Raw genomic sequence first — 24,335 nt, 5'->3', positions numbered from 1 at the left:
AGGCCTAAAATTATGGGTTTCAAAATTTTTTGTTGTTTTTAACATTATTTAAAAAGGTATTTTTAATGTAGTATTTAATATCTTAGGGACTTAGATGTTTTACTTATTATACAGGTAAGATTCATCCATATTTTGTATTTTGATGTTAAGGACAAGAAATCCATATTTTTGTGTTTTGAGTTAAGGAATTAATTATAACTATTATATAATATTTCACTGTGTGTGTGTATGTGTGTATATGTATGTATTCATTATCCAGTCTCCTGTATATATTCTTCTACACGTGGTTTTTATATAGTTTTTTAATTTTGCCAGTCAAATGGATGTAAAACAGTATTTCACTGTGGTTTTGACTTGCATTTCCTTGATCACCAGTGATGTGGAAAATCTCTTCATTTATTATGCAAATAACCATATGTGTTTCTTCTTCCATTTTTCTTTTTCCTTTTCTTTTCTTTTTTTTTTTTTTTTTATGAGATGGAGTCTTGCTCCATCACCCAGGCTGGAGTGCAGGGGCATGATGTGATCTTGGTTCACTGCAACCTGTGCCTCCTGGGTTCAAGTGATTCTTCCATCTCAGCCTCCCGAGTAGCTGGAACTACAGGTGTGCACCACCATGCCCAGCTAATTTTTGTATTTTTTAGTAGAGACGGGGTTTCACCATGTTGGCCAGGCTGTTCTCAAACTTCTGACCTCAAGTGATCTGCCCTCCTCAGCCTCCCAAAGTGTTAGGATTACAGGTGTGAGCCACCATGCATAGCCTCATTTTTTTGAGGGGGGCGGGTTGGGGGATTGCTTATATTCTTCTTAGTAACTTTTGAGTCAGCAAGGTATGTTGGAATTATCTATATCGTTTACCATCACTCATATTAATCATCAGCCATCATGTTTAATGTTCCATCTTATACATGACACTTTGTGCAGGCAAACAGCAGGCTTAGAATGAGTTCATCAGCTTCTGTTAAAAGATCCGTTTAATCACTCCACATAGTGTAACAATCTTTCCCCTCCAGAAATTTGTAACCTAAGGTCTAAGATTTTTCTTTTAAATGCACACAATAATAATCTACTCTCTCTTTTTATTGTCCCAGCTTGTCATCTGTGATCAATTACTCACTCAGAATTCATAAATATTTAGTTACTCTCTGTTTCCTTTTCAGTGCCTGACAAAGTCCAGGGAGTCAGTGTTAGCAACTCAGCCAGGAGTGACTATTTAAGGGTATCCTGGGTGCATGCCACTGGAGACTTTGATCACTATGAAGTCACCATTAAAAACAAAAACAACTTCATTCAAACTAAAAGCATTCCCAAGTCAGAAAACGAATGTGTATTTGTTCAGCTAGTCCCTGGACGGTTGTACAGTGTCACTGTTACTACAAAAAGTGGACAATATGAAGCCAATGAACAAGGGAATGGGAGAACAAGTAAGTGGAACGATTGCAAAATCTGACAGTTGGTTGGACTTGAAAGTCTCTAGTAATTTATCTGAACCTTGAATTTTTTCTGCTTATTCATTAGTACATTACATTCCCAGTAAGTCTCACTTGGTGCTAACATCATTCAGCCAAGCCATGGCCTATAATTACAGAATATTTATTGGTAGATAAAAGCAAACATAGTGAGGGAGCAAGAAGGCTAAATGTCCCATTTTTCTTCCCTATCTTCCTGCATCATGGCATTTAGATTCTAGACTTCTTGTTTTATCTTATGATTGAGATCATAACTCATTTTATAATTATGTTCTACCAATGCTGATCATGTAACATTTATGTCAGGAAAAAACCACAATGTTAATAGTTGCTTCCAATTTTTCTTGTTTAATTATGCATGAAGTAGTGCTAGTGGTTTATTTGGGGAAGGGAGATGTTGCCAGTTCCTTGAATGTGATTCATAAATTATTATGTAGGTAAACTCTGATCAGTTCCTTTCCTGAAATGTCTTCTCATTTTTCTCCCTAGTTCCAGAGCCTGTTAAGGATCTAACATTGCGCAACAGGAGCACTGAGGACTTGCATGTGACTTGGTCAGGAGCTAATGGGGATGTCGACCAATATGAGATCCAGCTGCTCTTCAATGACATGAAAGTATTTCCTCCTTTTCACCTTGTAAATACCGCAACCGAGTATCGATTTACTTCCCTAACACCAGGCCGCCAATACAAAATTCTTGTCTTGACGATTAGCGGGGATGTACAGCAGTCAGCCTTCATTGAGGGCTTCACAGGTAATGTGAAATACTGTTCTTGAACCTGAATAGATGCAGTGGTGCATTTAACTTTCGGGTAGTTCAGGTATTTCGATTGAGCATTTGGAGGGATAAAAGGGAGACAGCAAGAAGGGACAAAGTCATGTTGATAGTGACAATGATGTTGTCCAACCTGGATGAATGAAAATAAAGTATGATGTCAGCAGAGAGTGGCGGGGTTGGAGGGTGCTTTCAGAGAAATAGCAATGAACTGATGTGATCAGCTGGTGCTTCTGAGGCACACAGATTAAGAATTAAGTGTTACTTGGGTATCACTTCTTTAGAACTCTTTTAGGAGTGTTGCCATAGTAGTTAACATGTACTGACAGTTCACCATGAACCAGACCCACAGCAAAGCATTTTATGTCTACATCTTGTTCAGTCTTCACAATGCTTTGGAAGCCAAGGCAGGAGGATAGCTTGAGCCCAGGAGTTCAAGCACAGCCTGGGCAACATGACAAAACCCTGTCTCTACAAAAAATACAAAAAAATTAGCCGGGCACGGTGTTACGTGCCTGTAGTCCCAGCTACTGGGGAGGCTGAGGTGGGAGAATCACTTGAGCCCAGGAGGTATAGGATGCAGTGAGCCATAATCATGCCATTGCACTCCAGCCTGGACAACAGACAGAGACCCTACCTCAAAAATAAAATAAAATTAAATTAAAAAAGAATCAATCTTCACAACTCTATGGGCTGGTTAGTATTATCATCACTGCCATTTTTCCTAATGAAGAAACTAAAACTTACAGAGGTCAAGTAATTTGCCTGTAGTCCCACAGCTAGTGAGTGAGAAAACCAAAACTTGGACCAAGACACCCTAACTAGCCCCTCGCTATATAATTAGCATTCCTCATTTCCACTCACCGGCTTTGACTTCCCCCTAAGCTTTCCCCCATCAACTTTAGTTCACACAGAAAAATCAGAGAAAAGTGGCAAATTGTTACTTTCTTTTTCATGTGAGTTCTCTCAGTGGGTGCCAAAACATCAGAAGCATTCAAAACTTTGTTTGAAAATTTCAACAGTTCATTCTCTAAGTGATGACTTTTAAATTTATTTTCTGTTTTAGTTCCTAGTGCTGTCAAAAATATTCACATTTCTCCCAATGGAGCAACAGATAGCCTGACGGTGAACTGGACTCCTGGTGGGGGAGACGTTGATTCCTACACGGTGTCGGCATTCAGGCACAGTCAAAAGGTTGACTCTCAGACTATTCCCAAGCACGTCTTTGAGCACACGTTCCACAGACTGGAGGCCGGGGAGCAGTACCAGATCATGATTGCCTCAGTCAGCGGGTCCCTGAAGAATCAGATAAATGTGGTTGGGCGGACAGGTAAGCATCCACCTGGAGAAGGGCTAGATTGTAGAATGCCTCATGGTTCTCCAAAATGGGACAGTGAACGGGCTCAGCTATTCACAAATCCAGATTTAAAACCACCAAAGTTTGTACAATTCAATGGTTTCAAGAGCCTTACTCATTTATTCTTTGTATTTTTCTCTTAATAGAGATCTGCAAAACAAATGAAAGGGAATCAGAAACCAAATCATTTGAACACATTTTTATACTTGCTAAAGGATAATAAAATTTTAAATTTTAACAAGCAGGCTGGGCACAGTAGCTCACGCCTGTAATCCCAGCACCCTGGAAGGCCAAGGCAGGTAGATTGCTTGAGTTCAGGAGTTCGAGACTAGCCTGGGCAACATAGCTAAACCCCATTTCTACTAAAAATACAAAAAATTAGCCAGGCGTGGTGGTGCACACCTGTAGTCCCAGCTGCTTGGAAGGCTGAGGTGGAAGAATCACCTGAGCCCGGGAGGTCAAGGCTGCAGTGAGTCGTGATCGTGCCACTGCACTCCAGCCTGGGCAACCGGAGTGAGACCCTGTCCCAATAAATAAGTAAATAAATAAATAAATAAATTTTAATAAGGAGACTTCCATAATTATGCATTTTTCAAAAGTTCTACCTTTTAAGAAAGAGTACACATCTGTGCCATCTACTTTACCTGGTAGAGCTAAAAAAACAAGTATCAAATGTATGAATAATATATCTGTTTATATCAATATCACTATTCATGTATTATTTTTGAAAGATCTCTAGCCATACTATAGTTCTCTTACAGATGAGGAAAGAACAGTTCAGAAAGCTTGTAAAACAGTATCAAGGATACGTATATAACAAGACCTAAAGCTATAATTCAAGTCTAGGTCTGTCTGGCCCCAAACCTCGTGCCCTCTCCACTGTGACACAATACTTCTTAGATGTCTCCCATTCTCATGACCACTTATTTAGTTGTGGGGTCTGGGGCTTCTATACCATGCCCTACTATGCCTCTATTTCATATCTATATTTATATCTATATCTGCATATCTTTAACCCTATGACAAATCCTGTGTTAGAAGTGGGCATTCGGGCCAGGCGCGGTAGCTCACGCCTGTAATCCCAGCACTTTGGGAGGCCAAGGTGGGTGGATCACAAGGTCAGGAGATTGAGACCATCCTGGCTAACATGGTGAAACCCCGTCTCTACTAAAAATACAAAAAATTAGCTGGGTGTGATGGCAGACGCCTGTAGTCCCAGCTACTCGGGAGGCTGAGGCAGGAGAATGGCATGAACCCAGGAGGCGGAGCTTGCAGTGAGCTGAGATCATGCCACTGCACTCCAGCTTGGTGACAGAGTGAGACTCTGTCTCCAAAAAAAGAAAGTGGGCATTCAGTAGCAAGGCAAAGCCCCTGACCTCAAGAACCTTATAATCTAGTGAAGGAGATAGAAAAGTAAAAAGGCAATTACAGTAAAACATGGTACGTGCTAAGAAAAAAGTGGTTATGAGATGTTAGAGGAGCAAACAAGAAGAGTCAGGGAAGGCTTTCAGGAGGAAGTAATATTTAAAGAAAGACTAAGAAGTCATCCAGGTGAAGTGTAAGTTGTCTTCGTTCCAACAGAGAAAACAAAGCCCTGGAGGTGAGAGAAAGGATGGCACATTTGGGAACCTACACCTTTTTTAGTATACTAGAATAAAGGCCGGGCACGGTGGCTCATGCCTGTAATCCCACATTTTGGGAAGCTGAGGTGAGTGGATAGCCTAAGTCCAGGAGTTCGAGACCAGCCTGGGCAACGTGGCAAAACCCCATCTCTACTAAAAGTATAAAAAGCAAAAGTATACTAGAATAAAAAATGTGAGGCATGTGGCCAGGTAAGTAGAGAGACCAAATCACAAAGAGCTTTGTTTGCCTGTGAAGGTGTTTTGGAATTATGGAGAGCCACTATAGGGCCATTAGCATGGGAGTGCTATGAAAATATGCTAGATAGAGTCTGCAGATTGAAAGAGTAGGAGGTAAGGACACAAGTGACTGGTCAATAGGCAGTTGCAATAATGTATGGTCTCATTTATACTTGCTAAAGGGTATGATGTGGTCCTGAGGTAGTAGCAGTACACAAAGAGGGAGTGGCTAGATTCAAGAGATAGAAGATTTAGGATACAGAAATAAAACTCGTATTTGATTATATATACAAGGGTGAGAGTGATAACTGAAGTTTCTGACTTGAACCAAGAGATAGAAACAAAAAAACAATGAGAATATTGGGGGAGGGAGATGAGGAGTCCAATTTGGACGTCTTGAGTGTTGGATGTCTGTGGTACATTCAGGGAGAGATGTAATTTGCAAAAGCAGGAGAAACATCTAAACTGAAAGTTTAAATTTGGGAGTTGTCACCTTATGGATGACACTTCAAACCATGGACATAGACGAAATCTAGGAAGATTATGTAGAATGAGAAAAGAAATGAACCTAGTACAGAAAATATTATTATAATAACAATAATACTATTTTGCCTTTCACCTCAGGAGCTATAGAACAAATACTAGTATCCACTACTGCTGAAGTCAAGTCTTGAAGTTTTGACCTTAGTTAATGTTAGTAATAAAAGTCTAAACAAGAGACATAATTCAGCTGTCAAACCCACATTCACTGAACATGAACTTGCTCAGCATTCTTCACTTTCTAGATTCATAGGTATGCACCACTCTGCATATTTATCAGGGCCATTTTCACTAACTTTTCTATCTGAGATCCTATTTAAAATCAGAGAAAAAATGGAGAATCAAAGTAGTTGTACAGACAGGTTAAGCCAACAAATCCTTTCTCCTCTTTTCTCCATAAGGGCACACAGAAAGTGTCAATGACACACAAATAAAGCAAATGCATCATCTTCTACCTGCAGTTGATTCAGGAGTTTTTCTCAATTGATGACTTTACCCTAAGTGATAAAATCTGTATTTTGTTGCTCCACTTGTCTCTCTGCAGTTCCAGCATCTGTCCAAGGAGTAATTGCAGACAATGCATACAGCAGTTATTCCTTAATAGTAAGTTGGCAAAAAGCTGCTGGTGTGGCAGAAAGATATGATATCCTGCTTCTAACTGAAAATGGAATCCTTCTGCGCAACACATCAGAGCCAGCCACCACTAAGCAACACAAATTTGAAGATCTAACACCAGGCAAGAAATACAAGATACAGATCCTAACTGTCAGTGGAGGCCTCTTTAGCAAGGAAGCCCAGACTGAAGGCCGAACAGGTAATTAGCACAGCATAATGTTTTGTAGCACATATTGCCAATGTCTGCTATTGTGTAAGAACCCCAGGGTGAGAGGGATGAAGCAACATTGGGAGATGATATCTATCTCTTGATACGCTGGGAACATTCACCCTGATTTGCCACTTCCATGTCAGTTGCCCTATCCACGCAGGACTCAGCCCACCACACTCTGTTTCTGATTTTTCATTAATATTGGTGCTATTAGCTTCCTATTGCTGCTATAATAAACTATCACAATCTTAGTGGCTTAATACCACCCAAATTTATTATTTTCTAGTCCTGAAGATTAGAATCTGAAAATGGTTTTTTGGGACTGAAATCAAGACAACAGGGCTGTGTTTCTTGTAGACACTTTAGAGGGAGAATCCACTCCTTGCCTTTTTCAGCTTCTGAGGCCGCCCACATTCCTTGGCTCGTGTCCCCCTCCCAACAGTGACATTGCTCCAATCTCTGCATGGGACCTTACATCTCTTTCTCTGCTCTCCTGCCTCCCTCTTCCATCTTTTAAGGACTCTTGTGATTACCTTGGTCACCAACCGGACAATCCAGGATAATTCCTTCGTCTCAAGATCCTTAACTTAATCACATCTACAAAGCCCTTTTTGCCACAGAAGGTAACATATTCACAGGTTCTGGGGGTTAGGACATGGACATCTTTGGGGCCATTATTCAGACAACCACATTGGCCTAATTGATTGATAACTTATTTATTAAGTACATAGGTCTGAAGGCGGGGATGGTTATGTTGACAGGGACATAAAGATGAATCAGGCATGCTTCTCGTCCTTAAAGAGCTGACTGACGAGACAGACACATGGACAAATAATGGCAATGCATTGTGATAAAGAGTACATATAAGAGAGGGATGTCTGGCATTCAGGGAAGCATGGAGGTCAGGTAGAATTGAGACATCTTCATAAAAGTGACATTTCAGTACTGCCTTGAAGGATGAAGAAATTCTCCTTATGGAGAGAAGGTAGAATACTTTGTACAGACAGTCTGTCCTGTGCAAAGGCCAAGAGGTATGAACAGGAGAAAGGAGAAGTTGTGGGTGGCTGAAATGTGTGTTGCATGATGGAAAGGTGAGACTGAAAGCCAGATTGGAGCCAAATTAGAGGGTGCCTGGTAGCCTTCCTCAGGAATTTTATCTTAAAGCAATACAAAACTTTTAGCCAGAGAGTAATTGTTTTGTAATAAAAGATGTATCTTTAAAAAGATAAATCAGATAGCAATGGGGGAATGGATTGAATGGAAATGAACCAGAAGTGAGGAGATCCACCTATCAATTCATTTATTATTGAGTACCTACTATAGGCTAGGCACTGTTCTAACTGCTGGATATACAGAAGTGAATAAAAAAACTCCCATGGTCATTATGTTTATAGTCTAGTGGGGAAGAAAGTCAATAAATAAAATAAATAAGTAAAAGATGTAGGAGGTTGGGTGGTAATAAAGACCAAGAAGGAAATTAAGTTAGGAAGGTGGGATAGCAAGAGTTGGGGCTTACAATTTTATCTATCTATTTATTATTATTATTATTATTATTATTATTATTATTATTATTATTATTTATTATTTTTGGAGACAGAACCTCGCTCTGGCACCCAGGATGGAGTGCAGTGGCACAATCTCAATTCACTGCAACCTCTGCCTCCTGGGCTCAAACAATCCTCCCATCTCAACCTCCCAAGTAGTTGGGACTTCAGGCATGTGCCACCACACCCAGCTAATTTTTGTATTTTCTTGTAGACACAGGGTTTCTCCACATTGCCTAGGCTGGTCTCGCACTCCTGGGCTCAAGAAATCCACCTGCCTCAACCTCCCAAAGTGTTGGGATTACAGGCACGAGCCACCACGCCTGGTCAAGGGGCTTACAATTTTTTTTTTTTTTTTTTGAGATGGAGTCTCCCTCTGTTGCCCAAGCTGGAGTGCAGTGGTGCGATCTTAGCTCACCACAACCTCCACCTCCTGGGTTCAAGCAATTATCCTGCCTCAGCCTCCCGAGTGCATACCGAGTGGGACTACAGGTATGCACCACTACACCCGGCTAATTTTTATATTTTTAGTAGAGACAGGGTTTCACCATGTTGGCCAGGCTGGTCTTGAACTCCTGACCTCAGGTGATCCACCCTCCTCAGCCTCCCAAAGTGCTGGGATTACAGGCATGAGCCACTGCACCTGGTCGGGACTTACAATTTTAGATAGTACAGTCCCCAAAGACTTCATTGAGGCAGTGACATTTGAGTAAAAATCTGAAAGAAATGAGAAAGTCATGCAAATATTTGGGTATTTATAAGCAGAGCCAATGCCAACACAAAGACCTTGAGTGGGTGTGTGTCTGACCTGTTGGAGGAACAGTAAAGAGGCCCATATGGCTGGAACAGAGTGAGCGAGGATGAGTGGTGGGGATGCAGATGGACAGGTAATGGGGGTCATGACATGACTGCAGTCATAGGATGATAAGGACCAATAGCTGAATGAATGCAGGGGCCCTGGTGAAGAATAGTGGGTACAGTCAAGAAATATTTTTGCATTAGCTTAAGTGGCACTTGGGGGCTGAGTGGATTATAGAGGAAGGGACAGAAGATTCCAGAGTTTTCACCTGGGATGTCTGGTAGAAGATGATGCCATTAATTGAGATAGAAGAAGGAGGAGAGAGGGTCAAGCAAAACTCCAGAGTTCAGCTGTGTATTGAGTTTGAGATGCCTGAGTGACTTGCAGAGAGAAGGGACCATAGGTATTTGGAAATATGGATTTGAGCTCAGAAGAGAAGTGAGCTGGACATAAAAAGATCTGGACCAGAATGCTAGTTAAATCCATAAATTGAATGAGACTGATTGCTCAGCTGGGGCTATAGAATATGAAGGAAACAAAGGATGGATCCATGGGAAATAACACCTTGTAAGGGCCTGACAAAAGGAGAGGAGAAAGCAAAGAGAGCCTGAGAAAGAGCATTTGGGGTGGAGGAAAGAGAACTCAGGCGAAATCAAGGCAGATGTCCTGTTCTGTTTCTACTGGCATCTTAAGACTTCTGAGGAATCAGGCAGCATCTGTGCCAGCAGTTTGCAAGGAGGTGGTTGCTAGCAGCACTTGACCTTGCCAAGAGGTAGCACAGAAGTCCAAAAGGGTTTGCAAAATTCTAACATGAAGATTTTTGTAAAGTGCTTTTGGCTTTTCCTATTGTTACTGTTTCCCGTATCACTGAATCCAACTTCCTCTTTCTGTTTGCTTTTCCCTCTTCCCCACCTGCTCCCTTCTCCTCACTGCATTTCCCTCCCTCATTCTCTTGCTCCTCGACTTTTCCAGTCCCAGCAGCTGTCACCGACCTGAGGATCACAGAGAACTCCACCAGGCACCTGTCCTTCCGCTGGACCGCCTCAGAGGGGGAGCTCAGCTGGTACAACATCTTTTTGTACAACCCAGATGGGAATCTCCAGGAGAGAGCTCAAGTTGACCCACTAGTCCAGAGCTTCTCTTTCCAGAACTTGCTACAAGGCAGAATGTACAAGATGGTGATTGTAACTCACAGTGGGGAGCTGTCTAATGAGTCTTTCATATTTGGTAGAACAGGTAAGACCAAGACCCAAGCAGTAATGAATCGTGGGGGAATTGTCCCGGTATTCACTGGCTTTTCCTTGGTTGGTCCTTAGTTTCCTATTCTATTCAGGATGTAGCTTTATATGGCATTTGTGACTTTCAGGCTGTTTGACCCTAAATCGCACCTTTGATTATATATAACTAATTTGTGGCTAGTTTTTGCACTGGCTTCTGCTCTTTTGCCTCCACTTATTTACTTCCTAGGGCTTGGTAAAAAATGAATGCGGTTCCTCCTCTTGCCATCAAACTGTACAAGAGGGCTGTAACCCATCATAGTTTAATTCGAGCTACACCCTTCAGCTTTCTAACAAGAAATAGACGGAGAGGAGAGCAGGAGCAGAGAAGGGCAACCACAAATATAACAAACAGGCAGTGACTGCTGCGAATTAGAAACACAGCGCTAGATGAAGTGAAAACACAGAGTTCCAGGAAAGTGAGAGACATCTCTCTGGGCTGCAAACAAAAAACAGAATCTACCCTTTTCCCATAATTTGAGTCCTTTATCTCCTGTTCAAAAAAAAATGTTTTGGGGGGGGACGAGTTCTCACTCTGTTGCCCAGGCTGGAGTGCAGTGATGCCATCATGGCTCCCTGCAGCCTCGACCACCTGGGCTCAAGTGATCCTCTTGCTTCAGCCTCCCGAGTAGCTGGGACTACAGGCACACGACACCATGCATGGCAAACTTTTAACTTTTTAATTTTTATTTTTTGTAGAGATGGGGGCCTCCCTGTATTGCCCAGGCTGGTCTTGAACTCCTGGGCTAAAGCAATCCTCTTGCCTCGACCTCCCAAAGTGCTGGAATTAGAGGCGTGAGCCACCACGGTCAGCCCACCTATTCAATTCTTTTTTCTCATTTGACAATAGTTTTAGGTGCTCTTCTGTGCCAGGCACATGGCCCACTGCTGTAATGTGACGGTGAACAAGACAGTCAAGGGCCCTGCCCTCAGAGAACTCTGCAATAGCGGGGAGGGAAGAGGACAAGGACAGATCATCAAAGGGAGATGATCTGGGAATGCCTTAAATTCTATGAAAAAAATGATGTGTCATGATAGTGACTTGGCAGGACAAGCAACTGCTTTAGATAGGAGAAGGCATTTCAGCAGAGACCTAAAGGTGAGGGGAGCCACGTGGGAACATATTCCAAGGGCACCCAACAGAAGTTCTGTTTGTCTTTTGAAAGGAGTGAAAAAGAGCAGCGATAAGCTTCAACCACAAATAGAATTGCCTAGATGTCATCATTTCTGAGGCAACCCACCCTTTGCACATCTTTCCTTACCTGCTCATTAATGCTTAAAGGTCTCCCAATGTGGCAACAGTCTTCATTCTCCAAAAAATAGCAAAGCTATTGGGATAGGTGGCAGCATGACTAATCTATACAGTGATAGGAGTGACTGTTAACACTTCTCTCCCTAAATGAAGTTGTACCAATACAGATTTTATAAAAAAGAGCACAAGAGAACTGAGAACCTAAAGGAGGGTACAGAGGATGTAAAGAGACCCAGAGAGGGTTGTTATGGGATGGTGGCTGCAATGAGATAGGCCACACTGGGAGGAGCTGGAACCTCGTATATACATTTTCTGGGCCTTTTTCATAAGCTAAATGACAACGATTTATTCATCATTTATGAAGATTTCATTTTACATGCCTATCAGGGTCCATGTGGCAAGCATCTAGAAGTCACCACCTGGTTTGTTTTGTTTTAATTTATACCATATCTCTAGTCCATATGCCCTTAAAGTTAAATGGCCTGAAATGTAGGCAAGATCTGACTACAATATGTACGACTCACCCACATGCCCAACATAGCATATACTCTCACCTGTGGGCCAAAATGCCTGTGTTTCTGTTTTGTTCTCAGTAACAATTTTTCTTCTGTTTAAGTCCCAGCCTCTGTGAGTCATCTCAGGGGGTCCAATCGGAACACGACAGACAGCCTTTGGTTCAACTGGAGTCCAGCCTCTGGGGACTTTGACTTTTATGAGCTGATTCTCTATAATCCCAATGGCACAAAGAAGGAAAACTGGAAAGACAAGGACCTGACGGAGTGGCGGTTTCAAGGCCTTGTTCCTGGAAGGAAGTACGTGCTGTGGGTGGTAACTCACAGTGGAGATCTCAGCAATAAAGTCACAGCGGAGAGCAGAACAGGTGAGAAGCCCAGGTGCCAATGGCCAAGGGATGGTGGGAAGTAGCTTCCAGAGACACATTTTGATTCTGATTTTAATGACAAGAGATAAAGCCAATAATGATATACCCTGAGCTAGCCCCTGAATTTGGGAAGGGACTGTGGGACAACAGATAAAGGACAAGGCTTTGGTCCAAAAGAAATATGTCCTTAGCTTAGCTCTATGAATCTGGGCAAGTCATTGAGCATCTCTAGGCCTCAGTTTTCTTATCTGCAAAGTGGGAATAATCATATACATCATCACTGTGTGGCTATCACCAGTGCTTCCTAACTGTTTTTATGTCATGGGCACACACAGAGGTCTGTGTGCCACCCTGGAGTTAATCAACAAGGCTATCTGCAACTGAACATAATTGTCTGTGGACGTCAGCCCTGTACCCCAAAATCTGATGGAATTAATATCTTCACACACTTGTAACCCATTCAGGGCACACTCATGCTCCACAGCACCATGGTAAGGAAGATCTGGCTATGAATATTTAAGAAAAGGTATATGAGGCTGGGCACCGTGGCTCATGCCTATAATCCCAGTACTTTGGGAGGCCGAGGTGGGTGGATCACTTGAGGTCTGGAGTTCGAGACCAGCCTGGTCAACGAGAGGAAACCCTGTCTCTACTAAAAATACAACAATTAGCCAGGTGTAGTGGTGGGCACCTGTAATCCCAGCTACTTGGGAGGCTGAGGTGCCTGTAATCCCAGCTACCTGGGAAGCGGAGGTTGCAGTGAGCCAAGATCACTCCACTGCACTTCAGCCTGGGCAGCAAGAGCAAAACTCTGTCTCAAAAAAAAAAAAGTGAAAAAAAAAAAAAAAAAGTACATAAAATGCTCGAAGACAGTGCCTTACACATAATAAACACTATTAATGAAAGCTCCTGCTACTATATTATTATCATATTATCTCTTCCTACAAAGTACATTAAAAGTGTGTCTGATGTTGCTCAGCTATCTTATTTGTATATGTTATGGCATAGCTGTGATTATGTGATTTTTCACTTTCTCCTACATTCAGCTCCAAGTCCTCCCAGTCTTATGTCATTTGCTGACATTGCAAACACATCCTTGGCCATCACGTGGAAAGGGCCCCCAGACTGGACAGACTACAACGACTTTGAGCTGCAGTGGTTGCCCAGAGATGCACTTACTGTCTTCAACCCCTACAACAACAGAAAATCAGAAGGACGCATTGTGTATGGTCTTCGTCCAGGGAGATCCTATCAATTCAACGTCAAGACTGTCAGTGGTGATTCCTGGAAAACTTACAGCAAACCAATTTTTGGATCTGTGAGGACAAGTATGACATGTTTTGCTACTCTTATTTCTCAAATGGAGTAGAGGAAGTATATGTTCAACATCTTACTCAAATAGGGCTTGGATTAAATCCATATTTTTACATGGGATTGGTCTGGATTTGAATTCAGGCAGAAGTCTCTGTAGATTTGTTCGTTCATTCAACATTAACAACAAGGGACAATAAATCTCTCTCTGCCCTCATGGGGCTTACAATTAGGTAGGACGTACTATTTGTAAATAGACATTATATTTTGGGTGTGATGAGGGAAGTAAATGGTACTATGGAGACACTTGTTAGGTAATCTGACCCAATACAAGAGAACTTCTTGGAAAAGGAAACATCCAAATAGAAACCTAAAGCAAGAGATTTACCAGGTAGAGGTAGGGGAAGAAGTGGAGAATATTCCAGGTAGAGAGAATAAAATATTCCAAGATGAGAGAGGAGGGAGAGTACAAGATCTACCAATAGGGGAACAGAAAGAAGTTTATTTGGCCATAGCATAAAAGGTGAGGATTAAGGGAATCAGATAATAAAATATTTTGTATTCCATGGTAACTACTTTGAACTTTATTTTGAACCAACTGGAGCCACTCAATTTCAGCAGAGATATCATAATCATTATTTACACTTTAGAAAGTTACTCTGGGTACAGTGTAGAGAATAGATTGAAAGAGGCAAAACTAGAAGCAGAGGGATCATAGTTAGCATATACTGCTGTATGTCCCTGAGATAAAAATACTTCGACGACGAAGCATATACCAGTTTCTTCCCAAAGGCATTTTGGGATAGATACTATCACCCTCAAAGAAAGACAGGTATTCAGTGTAGGGACTTTAATCCAAATATTTGTGTTTCAATAATACCCAGTATAAGTAGCTTCTGGGATCAGATCAGATAGTTATTGGTTGTTGATAAAATACATAGTTGAAAGTTAGAAATTTAAGCAAGTAGTTGTTTTATTTTTTTAATAAGCATTAATACTATAACAAGTATAACTTTTATGCCACATTGTATCCAAAGAGCAGTTATTTGTGTGTCAAGAGAAATATGTGAAAAAGAACTAAGAGTTTTAGTTTATGGCGAGCTCAGGATGAGTTTTCCGTGGCTGACTGTGGGCTGTGTTCATGAAATCTGCTAAGCAGAACACCCTGCACTGGTTACCAAACCCAGGGCAGAACTCTAAACACTTCTGACCATTGCATCTGGTATTAGAGTAGCCAGGGAAACACAATGCAAACACTGGATGGAACAAAGCTTTACTTACATAGAGAGGAGACAGAGTAAGATCAGCCTCAACAGTATGCATCAGTCCCCCACAGCCAGCTGCAGTAGTTGCCCAGAGATGCACTTGCTATCTTCAACCCTGACAACAGAAAACAGAAGGGCGCATTGTCTGTGGTCTCTTCCAGCAGCCAATGGAGGGCAGTTGGCTAAGTGCACCCCTCTCGGGCCACAGTAGAAGGACCCTGTCCTGTCTCCTCAGAGGACAACTATAGCATTGGTGTTCGCCATCTACCATGTGACACACATGCTTAAGCAGAACAAAAGAGCATACATTGAGCTTGCAACAGGGAATGATACTCCCACACAAGGCAATGAGCCCAGCACAGGGTGTGTAGGCTCTCCATCTCTTGGTAAGAAAGTATCTTAAGCTCAAGGGCCATTTCTTACACAGCCAAATGGGGGTTGATAGACTATGCACATGAGACTGCCTTTCCCAACAGCCTCGCAGGTGCTCAGTTTAAGAGCTCATACAACTCTGTTAGAGGCTAGGCTTATAAGTCACAACTGGACTGTTGTATTCAGTCCCGGGTGCTAGAATTTAAGGGAGGCATTTACCAAAAGGGGGAGTGCCCAAGAGGACAAAAACTGCCATGAAAGAGAGACTCAGTGCTGTTTCATGAGGAATGATTATGGTGGAACTTGTTTTTGTTTTGTTATGTTTTGTTTTGTTTTCTTCGAGGCTTGTATTTATTAGGATCGGGTGAGGCTATGGGTAACAGAAAATCCAAAATAGCAGAAGTTTAAATAGAATAGAAGTTTATAATTTTCATGTAAAATCATTCCAGTACTCAATTTCTCACAAATATGCTTCAACCATAATGAATGATTTGCAGTTCTCAATTTTCTACCATCCCACTCCGGCACCTCCTCCTTTGGTACCTGGGTTTCTGGTTTTTCTCTACGTAGAATGCCTCTTTCGTGATACCTTGGCAGAGTGTCACCTCTGCCTTACAGCTTTTACTAACTCCTGCTGATCACTAATAGCCAGCAGCTAAAAGTTGTGTGTCACACCACATAGCACCTTCTCTCACCATTTCTTCTGGTATGTTTTCCTTTCTACCTTGTGTTATGGCTATTTTGGACTCATTTCCATTTGTAGAGGTTAGAGCTAACGTCTTATTTACCTCTGTACTGTTCATAATCCCCAGAAGAGCACCTGGCACATAGTAGGTACTTGTTTCTCTCAACACGTGAAAGAAGTGTTCACTCCACTCTCTTTTTGTTTGCATGGCTTCAGAGGAGGACATAATTCTTAACTTTGCTTCTCTATATGTAAGTTGTTTTTCCCCCTCTGGCTTCTTTCAGGAATTTTTCTTTATCTTTGATTTTCTGTAGTGTGAAAACGATATGCCTAGCCATAGTTTTTTTGGCATATATCCTCCTTGGTGTTTTCTGAGCTTCCTGGATCTGTGGTTGGTGTCTAACATTTATTTGTGGGAAATTCTTAGTCATTCTTGTTTCAGATATTTCTTCTGTTCCTTTCTTTCTTCTTCTGGTATTCCCATTTTGTGTAGGATACACCTTTTGTGGTTGTTCCATGGTCCTTCGATCTTCTGTTCTGCTTTTCAGTCTTTGTTTTCTTTGCTTTTTCCATTTGGAAGGTCTCTATTGATATATCCTCAGGCTCAGAGACTGTCCTCAGCCACGTCTAACTATTAATAAGCCCATCAAGGCATTCTTTAACTGTTACTCAGACTTGTCCACACCTGTCCTCCAGCTTTTCCTACCCCAACCTTGGTTCCCTGGGAGATTTATGCTCATGTGTCTCTGCTAGGGTGAGCCACGACACTCTGTATTTGCCTGTCTGTCCCTCCTATACCTAGATCTCAGAGCTAGTTGGACCCAAAGGAGCTGAAAAAAAAAAATTCTCCCTGAGTTCTGAAAAGTGTTGCCTCCTCTGTTTCCTTTAGAGCCTGACAAGATACAAAACCTGCATTGCCGGCCTCAGAACTCCACGGCCATTGCCTGTTCTTGGATCCCTCCTGATTCTGACTTTGATGGTTATAGTATTGAATGCCGGAAAATGGACACCCAAGAAGTTGAGTTTTCCAGAAAGCTGGAGAAAGAAAAATCTCTGCTCAACATCATGATGCTAGTGCCCCATAAGAGGTACCTGGTGTCCATCAAAGTGCAGTCGGCCGGCATGACCAGCGAGGTGGTTGAAGACAGCACTATCACAATGATAGACCGTAAGTGTCCCTGGAGGTGCGCACAGAGCCTCCTGTCACTGGAGTGAAGGGGCTGTGCACCTTTCTCTATCATATCCATCACTGCTATTCACTTGCATACACTTCACTTTTGCATAAGCCTGTCTGATTGCCACCTGGAGAGGAGGACCTAAAAGTCTCCAGAAATGGAAACATTTCTCTGGGTAAAGTACCCTGACAGCAAACAAGTTAGATGGTCTTAAAGTACCTGAATGAGTTAGTATTTAAATATATCACTTTGCCTCATATAGTTAGAGCTATAATGGAGCTCTTAAGCAATTTGAAGCTACAACTTCAGGAAATTCTGCTGAAGAGCTACCTCTTTCATTATGTTTAATGTGCCACTGGCAAATCACTTCCTCTGCCTGTTTTCCTTCAGGAGAAGGGGAGAGTTTCTTGATTACAGCATTAAACACAGGCACACGCTCACACACACACAGTCTGATGCAGGAGAGCAGAATCCTTCATTTCACTAACTGTTGTTTATGCTGTGAAAGCAGAGTTGTGACCCCTCTTGGTTCCTTCCCCACCTCTTTTTCCAGGCCCCCCTCCTCCACCCCCACACATTCGTGTGAATGAAAAGGATGTGCTAATTAGCAAGTCTTCCATCAACTTTACTGTCAACTGCAGCTGGTTCAGCGACACCAATGGAGCTGTGAAATACTTCACAGTGGTGGTGAGAGAGGCTGATGGTAAGTTATCATGAGTTAACTCCACTCTGAGACACAGAATTGCTTCCTCAGAGGTCATGTGGGAGATCTTTCTGTGACAAAGTTTAAGAAACTTAAGTAGAAAATGTAATTTTTGTATCATTCACCCCTCTCTCTGCTGGATACAGGGAGATGTAAGAAAAAGCTGCTCAAAGGCTCTTTGGGCAATAAAGCCTGTTATCCTCTGGGTTTAATTATTAAATAGAAGAGTAATGATAATAGCAACCACAACGATAATAACAATAACCATCATTTATTGAGCCCTTACTACGTGCTGTGCACTATTGGAAGTGCATTGCATGTAATGCCTTATTCAGTCCTCTTCATTATTGGGTCAGTCTTGTTCACTACTCTTTTGTTCTACCATTAAACATTAATATGCCTCAACTGTCTTCACCCCTCCCTGTCTCAAATGCCTCAACTGATCATGCTTGCAAACCACCCACCAAGTCACAAAAATAACCAAAAGCTTAAAAGAAGGAAAAGATGTTCATGAAAAACATTCTTCCCTTCTCCACTGAATTTTGAATAGTTTTATTCTCTAGTTTCCTAAATTATTCAATATCTACCTAATTCCTACAGATAAGAACAAAGTCTAGGGAATAGTTATCACAACATCACATACAACCACTCAGTATGAGCTTTCAAGCTTATTATATCAGCATTTGTCAAACCACCTGTAAGAGTGTTGTATTTGGGGCACACCTGTCCATATATGTATTCGCCATTGAGGTCTTGTGTGTTATTTCTCCAAAAGAGATGCTTGTGCCTGGAATGACATTAATATAGTTTACCTTTCTTATATATTTTTATACTGTTTAAGGTGCTGCATGAGTTTCTTAAGCATCCCTAATAATTTTGACCCATTTGTGGGTAAGGGGGAAACTTGAAACCTGACAAACTGTGAGGAGTTTCTAGGCCAATGGGTATTTTAGGCTCACAGTATCTAACAGTCTATGTGCTTTCACAGTTTATTTAATTGTACTAAATCTGGTTATGCACAATTAATTAAATAATTTCAAGGGTCAGTGGTGTGTCCCAGATTTCCTCACACCACATAATTGAAGATAAATTAGTGAACTGTGGAAAGACTTTAGACTTAATTAGACTGCAATGAAGACAGTGTTTTGCTACATGAATATGAGACAGTAACCAAAAAAGTCACACCCCAGAAAGTAGCCTTGTGTTCCCCAGCCAGACAGCCTTCCCATTATTGATGTCCATGGAGATGAGCTGTGATTTCCAGGTTAGCTAAGATAACAATCCATCTCATATAAACGCCATTTATAGTGTACACACTCATGCTAAAGACAACATTTCTTTTTAACTACTGCCAACAAAATATTTCTAAGACTCACTTATGAGCAAATTTTATTAAACAACAATCCAGGATGCTATGATAAACCCTCACTGCACCACTTCTTGAAGCTCATTGTAAATAGTATCTGATCTCTATAGTATTTATCTTTCTACTTACGCTTTTCTCCAGCCAACATCAAAACTGGTTTGCAGTGCCAAAACACACAGCAGGCTGGGTGGACAGGGGAAGAGTTCTGGGAAGTGCTCTGAGTAAGGGGCCAAATTTGGATGGGGATTAAACTGTACTCAAGATAACAGATCCACATGCAGAGCAATAATCAAACTGGGCATGACATGTGGAGCACGCCTTGTGGGATGACTGCTCTGGCCTAGGACATGATTTCTCTTATCTTTTTCCTATTTCCCAGGTCATAGGGGTTTCCTTATTAGCTCAACTACAATGGTTATTGGCAAGATAGTTTATCAAGTGGGTTCACTCACAATGGGAGTTGTCCAACACTCTGGAGTTGTGAGACATGCTCTCATTTAATGCAATGAGCTACCCTTATTTTATTTCCTAGGAAAATGATGCTGTGTGTGTGTGTATTTTATATACACACTATTTATGTATTTTGGAAAAAGTGAATTAAAATTAACTTTATTAGGAGAATTTCACATCGTTCTTTGAGATTGCAGAATCTGTACTTTGGAAATGGCCAGAGATAGTGGATGTGGAGGCAGCCTTAGAAACCTAATTTAAAATCACTGAAATCACCTAAGTCACAAGAAAGGCAGTCCTTAACTGTGGGTTTTCTCCTCCAGGCAGTGATGAGCTGAAGCCAGAACAGCAGCACCCTCTCCCTTCCTACCTGGAGTACAGGCACAATGCCTCCATTCGGGTGTATCAGACTAATTATTTTGCCAGCAAATGTGCCGAAAATCCTAACAGCAACTCCAAGAGTTTTAACATTAAGCTTGGAGCAGAGATGGAGAGCCTAGGTGGAAAATGCGATCCCACTCAGCAAAAATTCTGTGATGGACCACTGAAGCCACACACTGCCTACAGGTTAGATATATTACCACTGTTTTGCTAGAAGGGACATGCTACATTACTAAGCACTCAGCTGTCTGAGCAACTGATGCATGCGAGCTTCCATAGATTAATAACCTACGTTACAAGAGTACTGTGCATTTTACTGGGTAATTTATAAACGTTGGATTCCTGCCTCCACTTGCAGGTAATGTGTCAAAAGGGACTTCAGCACTATGCAAAAGCTCCAGTTCATTAAGGGAAGAACTGAAGGTTCTTAATAGATTGTTCTTTCTTCTACAACTTTCATTATTTTTTTTTTTTTTTTTGAGACAGAGTCTTACTCTGTTGCCCAGACTGGAGTGCAGTGGTGCCATCTCGGCTCACTGCAACCTCTGCCTCCCTGGTTCAAGCAATTCTCTTGCCTCAGCCTCCCAAGTAGCTGGGATTACAAGTGCACGCCACCACACCCGGCTAAGTTTTGTATTTTTAGTAGAGATGGGGTTTCACCATGTTGGCCAGGCTGGTCTCCAACTCCTGGCCTCAAGTGATCTGCCTGCCTTGGCCTCCCAAAGTGCTGGGATTACAGGTGTGAGCCACCATGCCTGGCCCTTCTACAACTTTCTAAATATGAGTCCAATACTTTACTTTGCTCATTATTGTAAAAATTTCCAAATAAAATGACTGAGTTTAGGGAGATCCAAAAACAATATGAAGTTATATCTTCTACTTATAATGTGAACTGAAATTATACTCACTTATTTACCTTCTAAGGCATCTAAAGATGGAAGCGCTCTTTGCTCCAGACAGAACTCTGGAAGGCAAAGACCCCTGAATGAATGGGAACACCCTTTTTTCCCCATGGAGATGACTAATGAAAAGGAGCAGCTGTCTGGCTTTGGCTCCAGGAAACATCACTGCAGTCACTAGGCCCTTCGGCCCTAGGAATTGGCAGTGCTCTTGTTCTGCACTGTGTTTTCAGAAAGCAGGTACAAGCAGAAGTATATAGCATCCCAATCAGCATCCTCAAGAGAAAGGGAACCTAGGCTACCATCTTGGATATAGAGCTACTGACATCCAACATTATTACTTCTGCAGAGGATGTACCTTCTCTGTTGGGTGTTGGAAGAGCTGATACCTAACCAATATGGCAGTAAATTAGGTTTTCCATGGGCCAGTGTTCGTTCTGCTTTGTTGATGCTGAGGTCTTATTGGTTCTCACATATTTGAAGTATCACTCCTAGGTCTCAGTAGAAAAAAAAACTCTCCTGCCACTTCCAAAAGGAGACTATGACGTACTGTTACACCCAAGAGAGTTCTTAGCCCCTCCCTCACATCAAAAAAGTCAGACAGATGTTTTTCCTAAAACAAAGCACTCATTTTTGGCAGGAACTCTGTAAAGCTACCTTTACCCAGGACTCACCAGACAGTTACTGTTACCTCCCAGGCAAGGTCAGCACCTCCAGATTAAACAAACACAAACTTTTTAGTCATACTTACTTCAAAAAGAGACCATACAAGCCTACCTAAAGGAAACAAGATTTCAGAAGAACAAGGGAGAAACATGAAAGATCAGAAAACCAGGATTTATCAGTTCCTGTAAGAATCAAGAGATGCGGCTGGGCGTGGAGGCTCACGCCTGTAATCCCAGCACTTTGGGAGGCCGAGGTGGGCGAATCACTTGAGGTCAGGAGTTCAAGACTAGCCTGGCCAACATGGTAAAACTCCGTCTCTACTAAAAACACAAAAGTTGGCCAGGCACGGTGGTGCACGCCTGTAATCCCAGCTACTTGGGAAGCTGAGGCAGGAGAATTGCTTGAACCCTAGAGGTGGAGGTTGCAGTAAGCTGAGATCATGCCACTGTACTCCAGCCTGGGCGACAGAGCAAGACTCCATCTAAAAAATAAAAAAGAAAAAAAAAAAGATTCAAGAGATTCCTCAGCTCCTTGGTTACCTGGGCTCAAGGAAACTCAAGCAAAAGTCACCTAAGGGCTATTTTCTTTTTGAGTTGGAAAACTGAAGCTGATTTAGTTTGTTTACTTATGGAAAGGGGAGGGGTGAAGATAACTCATTACTAAATTTCAAAGAGAGTAAGAAGCTATAAAAAATTTGTGTCTGGACCAGAGCCCACCAATCTCCCAGCACCCATAGTAACTGCGGAGGTCTTTGGAAGAGCCCCTGCATTTGAGTTCCAGCTCTGCCACTTTTTAACTGTGTAAGCAGCATTTCAATTCTCTAATCCTCATCTTCCTCACCTGCAAAGCTCCATAAGGTTGTCCTAAGTAGTAGTCCTGAGTATGTGACAGATCAAACCTAGTCATGTCCCTTCTAAATTAAGGTTTCCCCATAGTTCCCATTCACTTACCAGAGCAAGAGCAGATTCCAGTACAGGGCACACTGAGCCCTGCTTTCTCCCGCCTGCCTCACCAGCCTTGTCTCCAATCGTATTTGCTCCAAGTACCCACTGCTCTCTTGCTACTCCTCACTCCTCAGAGTTCCTGAATGTGACATGGTTCTTTTATACGCCTGAGCCTTTGCATAATCTTTTCACTCTCAGATGCGTTCCGCTCTTATCTGGCTGGCGAATTCTCTGTACACTTCAAAAGCCAGCTCAACCCTCAACCACCCACACTATCCTGTCAGCCCACAGCTGGGCAGTTGGGTGCTCCATCAGCCCCATGTCCACGTCCCCATCACCGTCTGCCTACATTCCTCTAATCCTACATTTACAGTGGCTTTTAACCCTTTATCGAATTACCTGCCCTCTTTACTAGACTGCAAGAACTCACAGTCCAACAGGGGAGACAGATGTGTCATTGGTTACAAAACAATATGGCAAGTTCCTGGCACAAAGGATGTGCTTGTGAAATGTTTATGAACAAATACGGGAATGAGCCAAGATGCTCTAAGGATGTAACACATTCGTGTTATGGCTTCATCATCTCTGTGTACATATTTGTTTTTCAGAACACACCTTTCCTATATTTCTCCAATATATATGTTTACTTCAGTCCTGTTAAAAGCATGCCAGACAGATAATGCTTGATGAGAGGAGGTGTCGTCTCCCAAAGCACATCAGAGAACCACATGCAAATCAGCCTCTTGCGTGGTGGCTGCTGAACTCAGTCCAGTCAGAATTCTGCCTGTCTCAAGACAGTCATTACCACAGTGACCCTCCTTGTTGTTAGGCATCCTTTTTTCCAAAGCGAATAGGTGGACAGGAAATAGCACGGTAAAAGAATAATTAGGATTGAGAAATGGGAAATGCTAGGTTTAGCTGATACGCAAGTTTATTATGTCAACAGATATAATGTGTTTCATTCATTGTTGGGTTCCTATGATTCATATGTTTTATTCCATTGTTCCATATGGAAAGAGAAAGGGCAGATCATTATGGTGAGAGAGAGTTGGAAGGTTAGGAAAGTGCTGGTCTGGTTTTGTTTTTATTCTAAATAGAAGAGCAGTGTGACCATAGTAAGGTGGTCAGCTTCTCCTGACCTCGTTTTCTTCAAAGGAAGGAAATTGAACCACATGATCTCTAACTTTCTGCTATAGAATTCTGATTCTGGACACATTTAAAGTGGAAAAAAATCTATCAGATATTTGTTCATTAAAAATAGTGTCTTGTTATTGTGTCATATTCATAATTATCTTTCTATAATATATTCAGCACATTTTATTGCCTTATCTGGCAATACGTGTTGTTGGGTGATAGATAAATAAGGTGGAGCCACTGCCTTCAAGAAGCTTACAATGTGGAGACAGAAAGAAGCCACATCTGCAAAATAGAGGCAGAAATGTTGAAGGACATAAGGAATAAAGGAAAATAAATTCTGTGAAGGTTCAGAAGGCTTCTCAAAGGATGTATTAAAACACAGGAATTAAAACATAGGAAAGGAT

The 24,335-nt window shown here is 41.9% G+C and overlaps 1 protein-coding gene and 1 long non-coding RNA gene across 12 annotated transcripts in view; one reads left to right on the top strand and one right to left on the bottom strand.

The window, feature by feature from the left end:
• PTPRB (protein tyrosine phosphatase receptor type B) overlaps positions 1-24,335 on the top strand; it is a 121,560-nt gene that overhangs the window by 64,182 nt on the left and 33,043 nt on the right. For 8 of the 10 annotated variants that reach the window (NM_001330204.2, NM_001109754.4, NM_001206971.3 and 5 more), the window contains 10 exons: positions 1,161-1,424; positions 1,959-2,222; positions 3,310-3,573; positions 6,544-6,813; positions 10,141-10,404; positions 12,314-12,577; positions 13,624-13,905; positions 17,100-17,378; positions 17,939-18,088; positions 20,228-20,471. In NM_001330204.2, the coding sequence (NP_001317133.1) occupies positions 1,161-1,424; positions 1,959-2,222; positions 3,310-3,573; positions 6,544-6,813; positions 10,141-10,404; positions 12,314-12,577; positions 13,624-13,905; positions 17,100-17,378; positions 17,939-18,088; positions 20,228-20,471 (2,545 nt within the window). Of the gene's footprint in view, positions 1-1,160; positions 1,425-1,958; positions 2,223-3,309; positions 3,574-6,543; positions 6,814-7,343; positions 7,449-10,140; positions 10,405-12,313; positions 12,578-13,623; positions 13,906-17,099; positions 17,379-17,938; positions 18,089-20,227; positions 20,472-24,335 lie in introns of those variants that run through there. The other 2 variants (NM_001206972.3, XR_944651.2) reach the window with 2 other exon arrangements.
• The window catches only part of PTPRB-AS1 (PTPRB antisense RNA 1), a 103,372-nt gene continuing 80,834 nt past the window's right edge, over positions 1,798-24,335 (bottom strand). The window contains exons 1-4 of one of the 2 annotated variants that reach the window (XR_945075.4): positions 22,801-22,926; positions 15,170-15,268; positions 12,252-12,643; positions 1,798-3,750 (exon numbers count right to left, since the gene is read on the bottom strand). This is a non-coding gene — a long non-coding RNA (PTPRB antisense RNA 1). Of the gene's footprint in view, positions 3,751-12,251; positions 12,644-15,169; positions 15,269-22,800; positions 22,927-24,335 lie in introns of those variants that run through there. The other variant, XR_001749196.2, reaches the window with a different exon arrangement.

Source organism: Homo sapiens, chromosome 12 (genome assembly GCF_000001405.40).
Source record: "Homo sapiens chromosome 12, GRCh38.p14 Primary Assembly".
In the NCBI taxonomy this organism is placed as follows: domain Eukaryota; kingdom Metazoa; phylum Chordata; class Mammalia; order Primates; family Hominidae; genus Homo; species Homo sapiens.
This window is presented reverse-complemented; position numbering and strand designations above follow the sequence as displayed.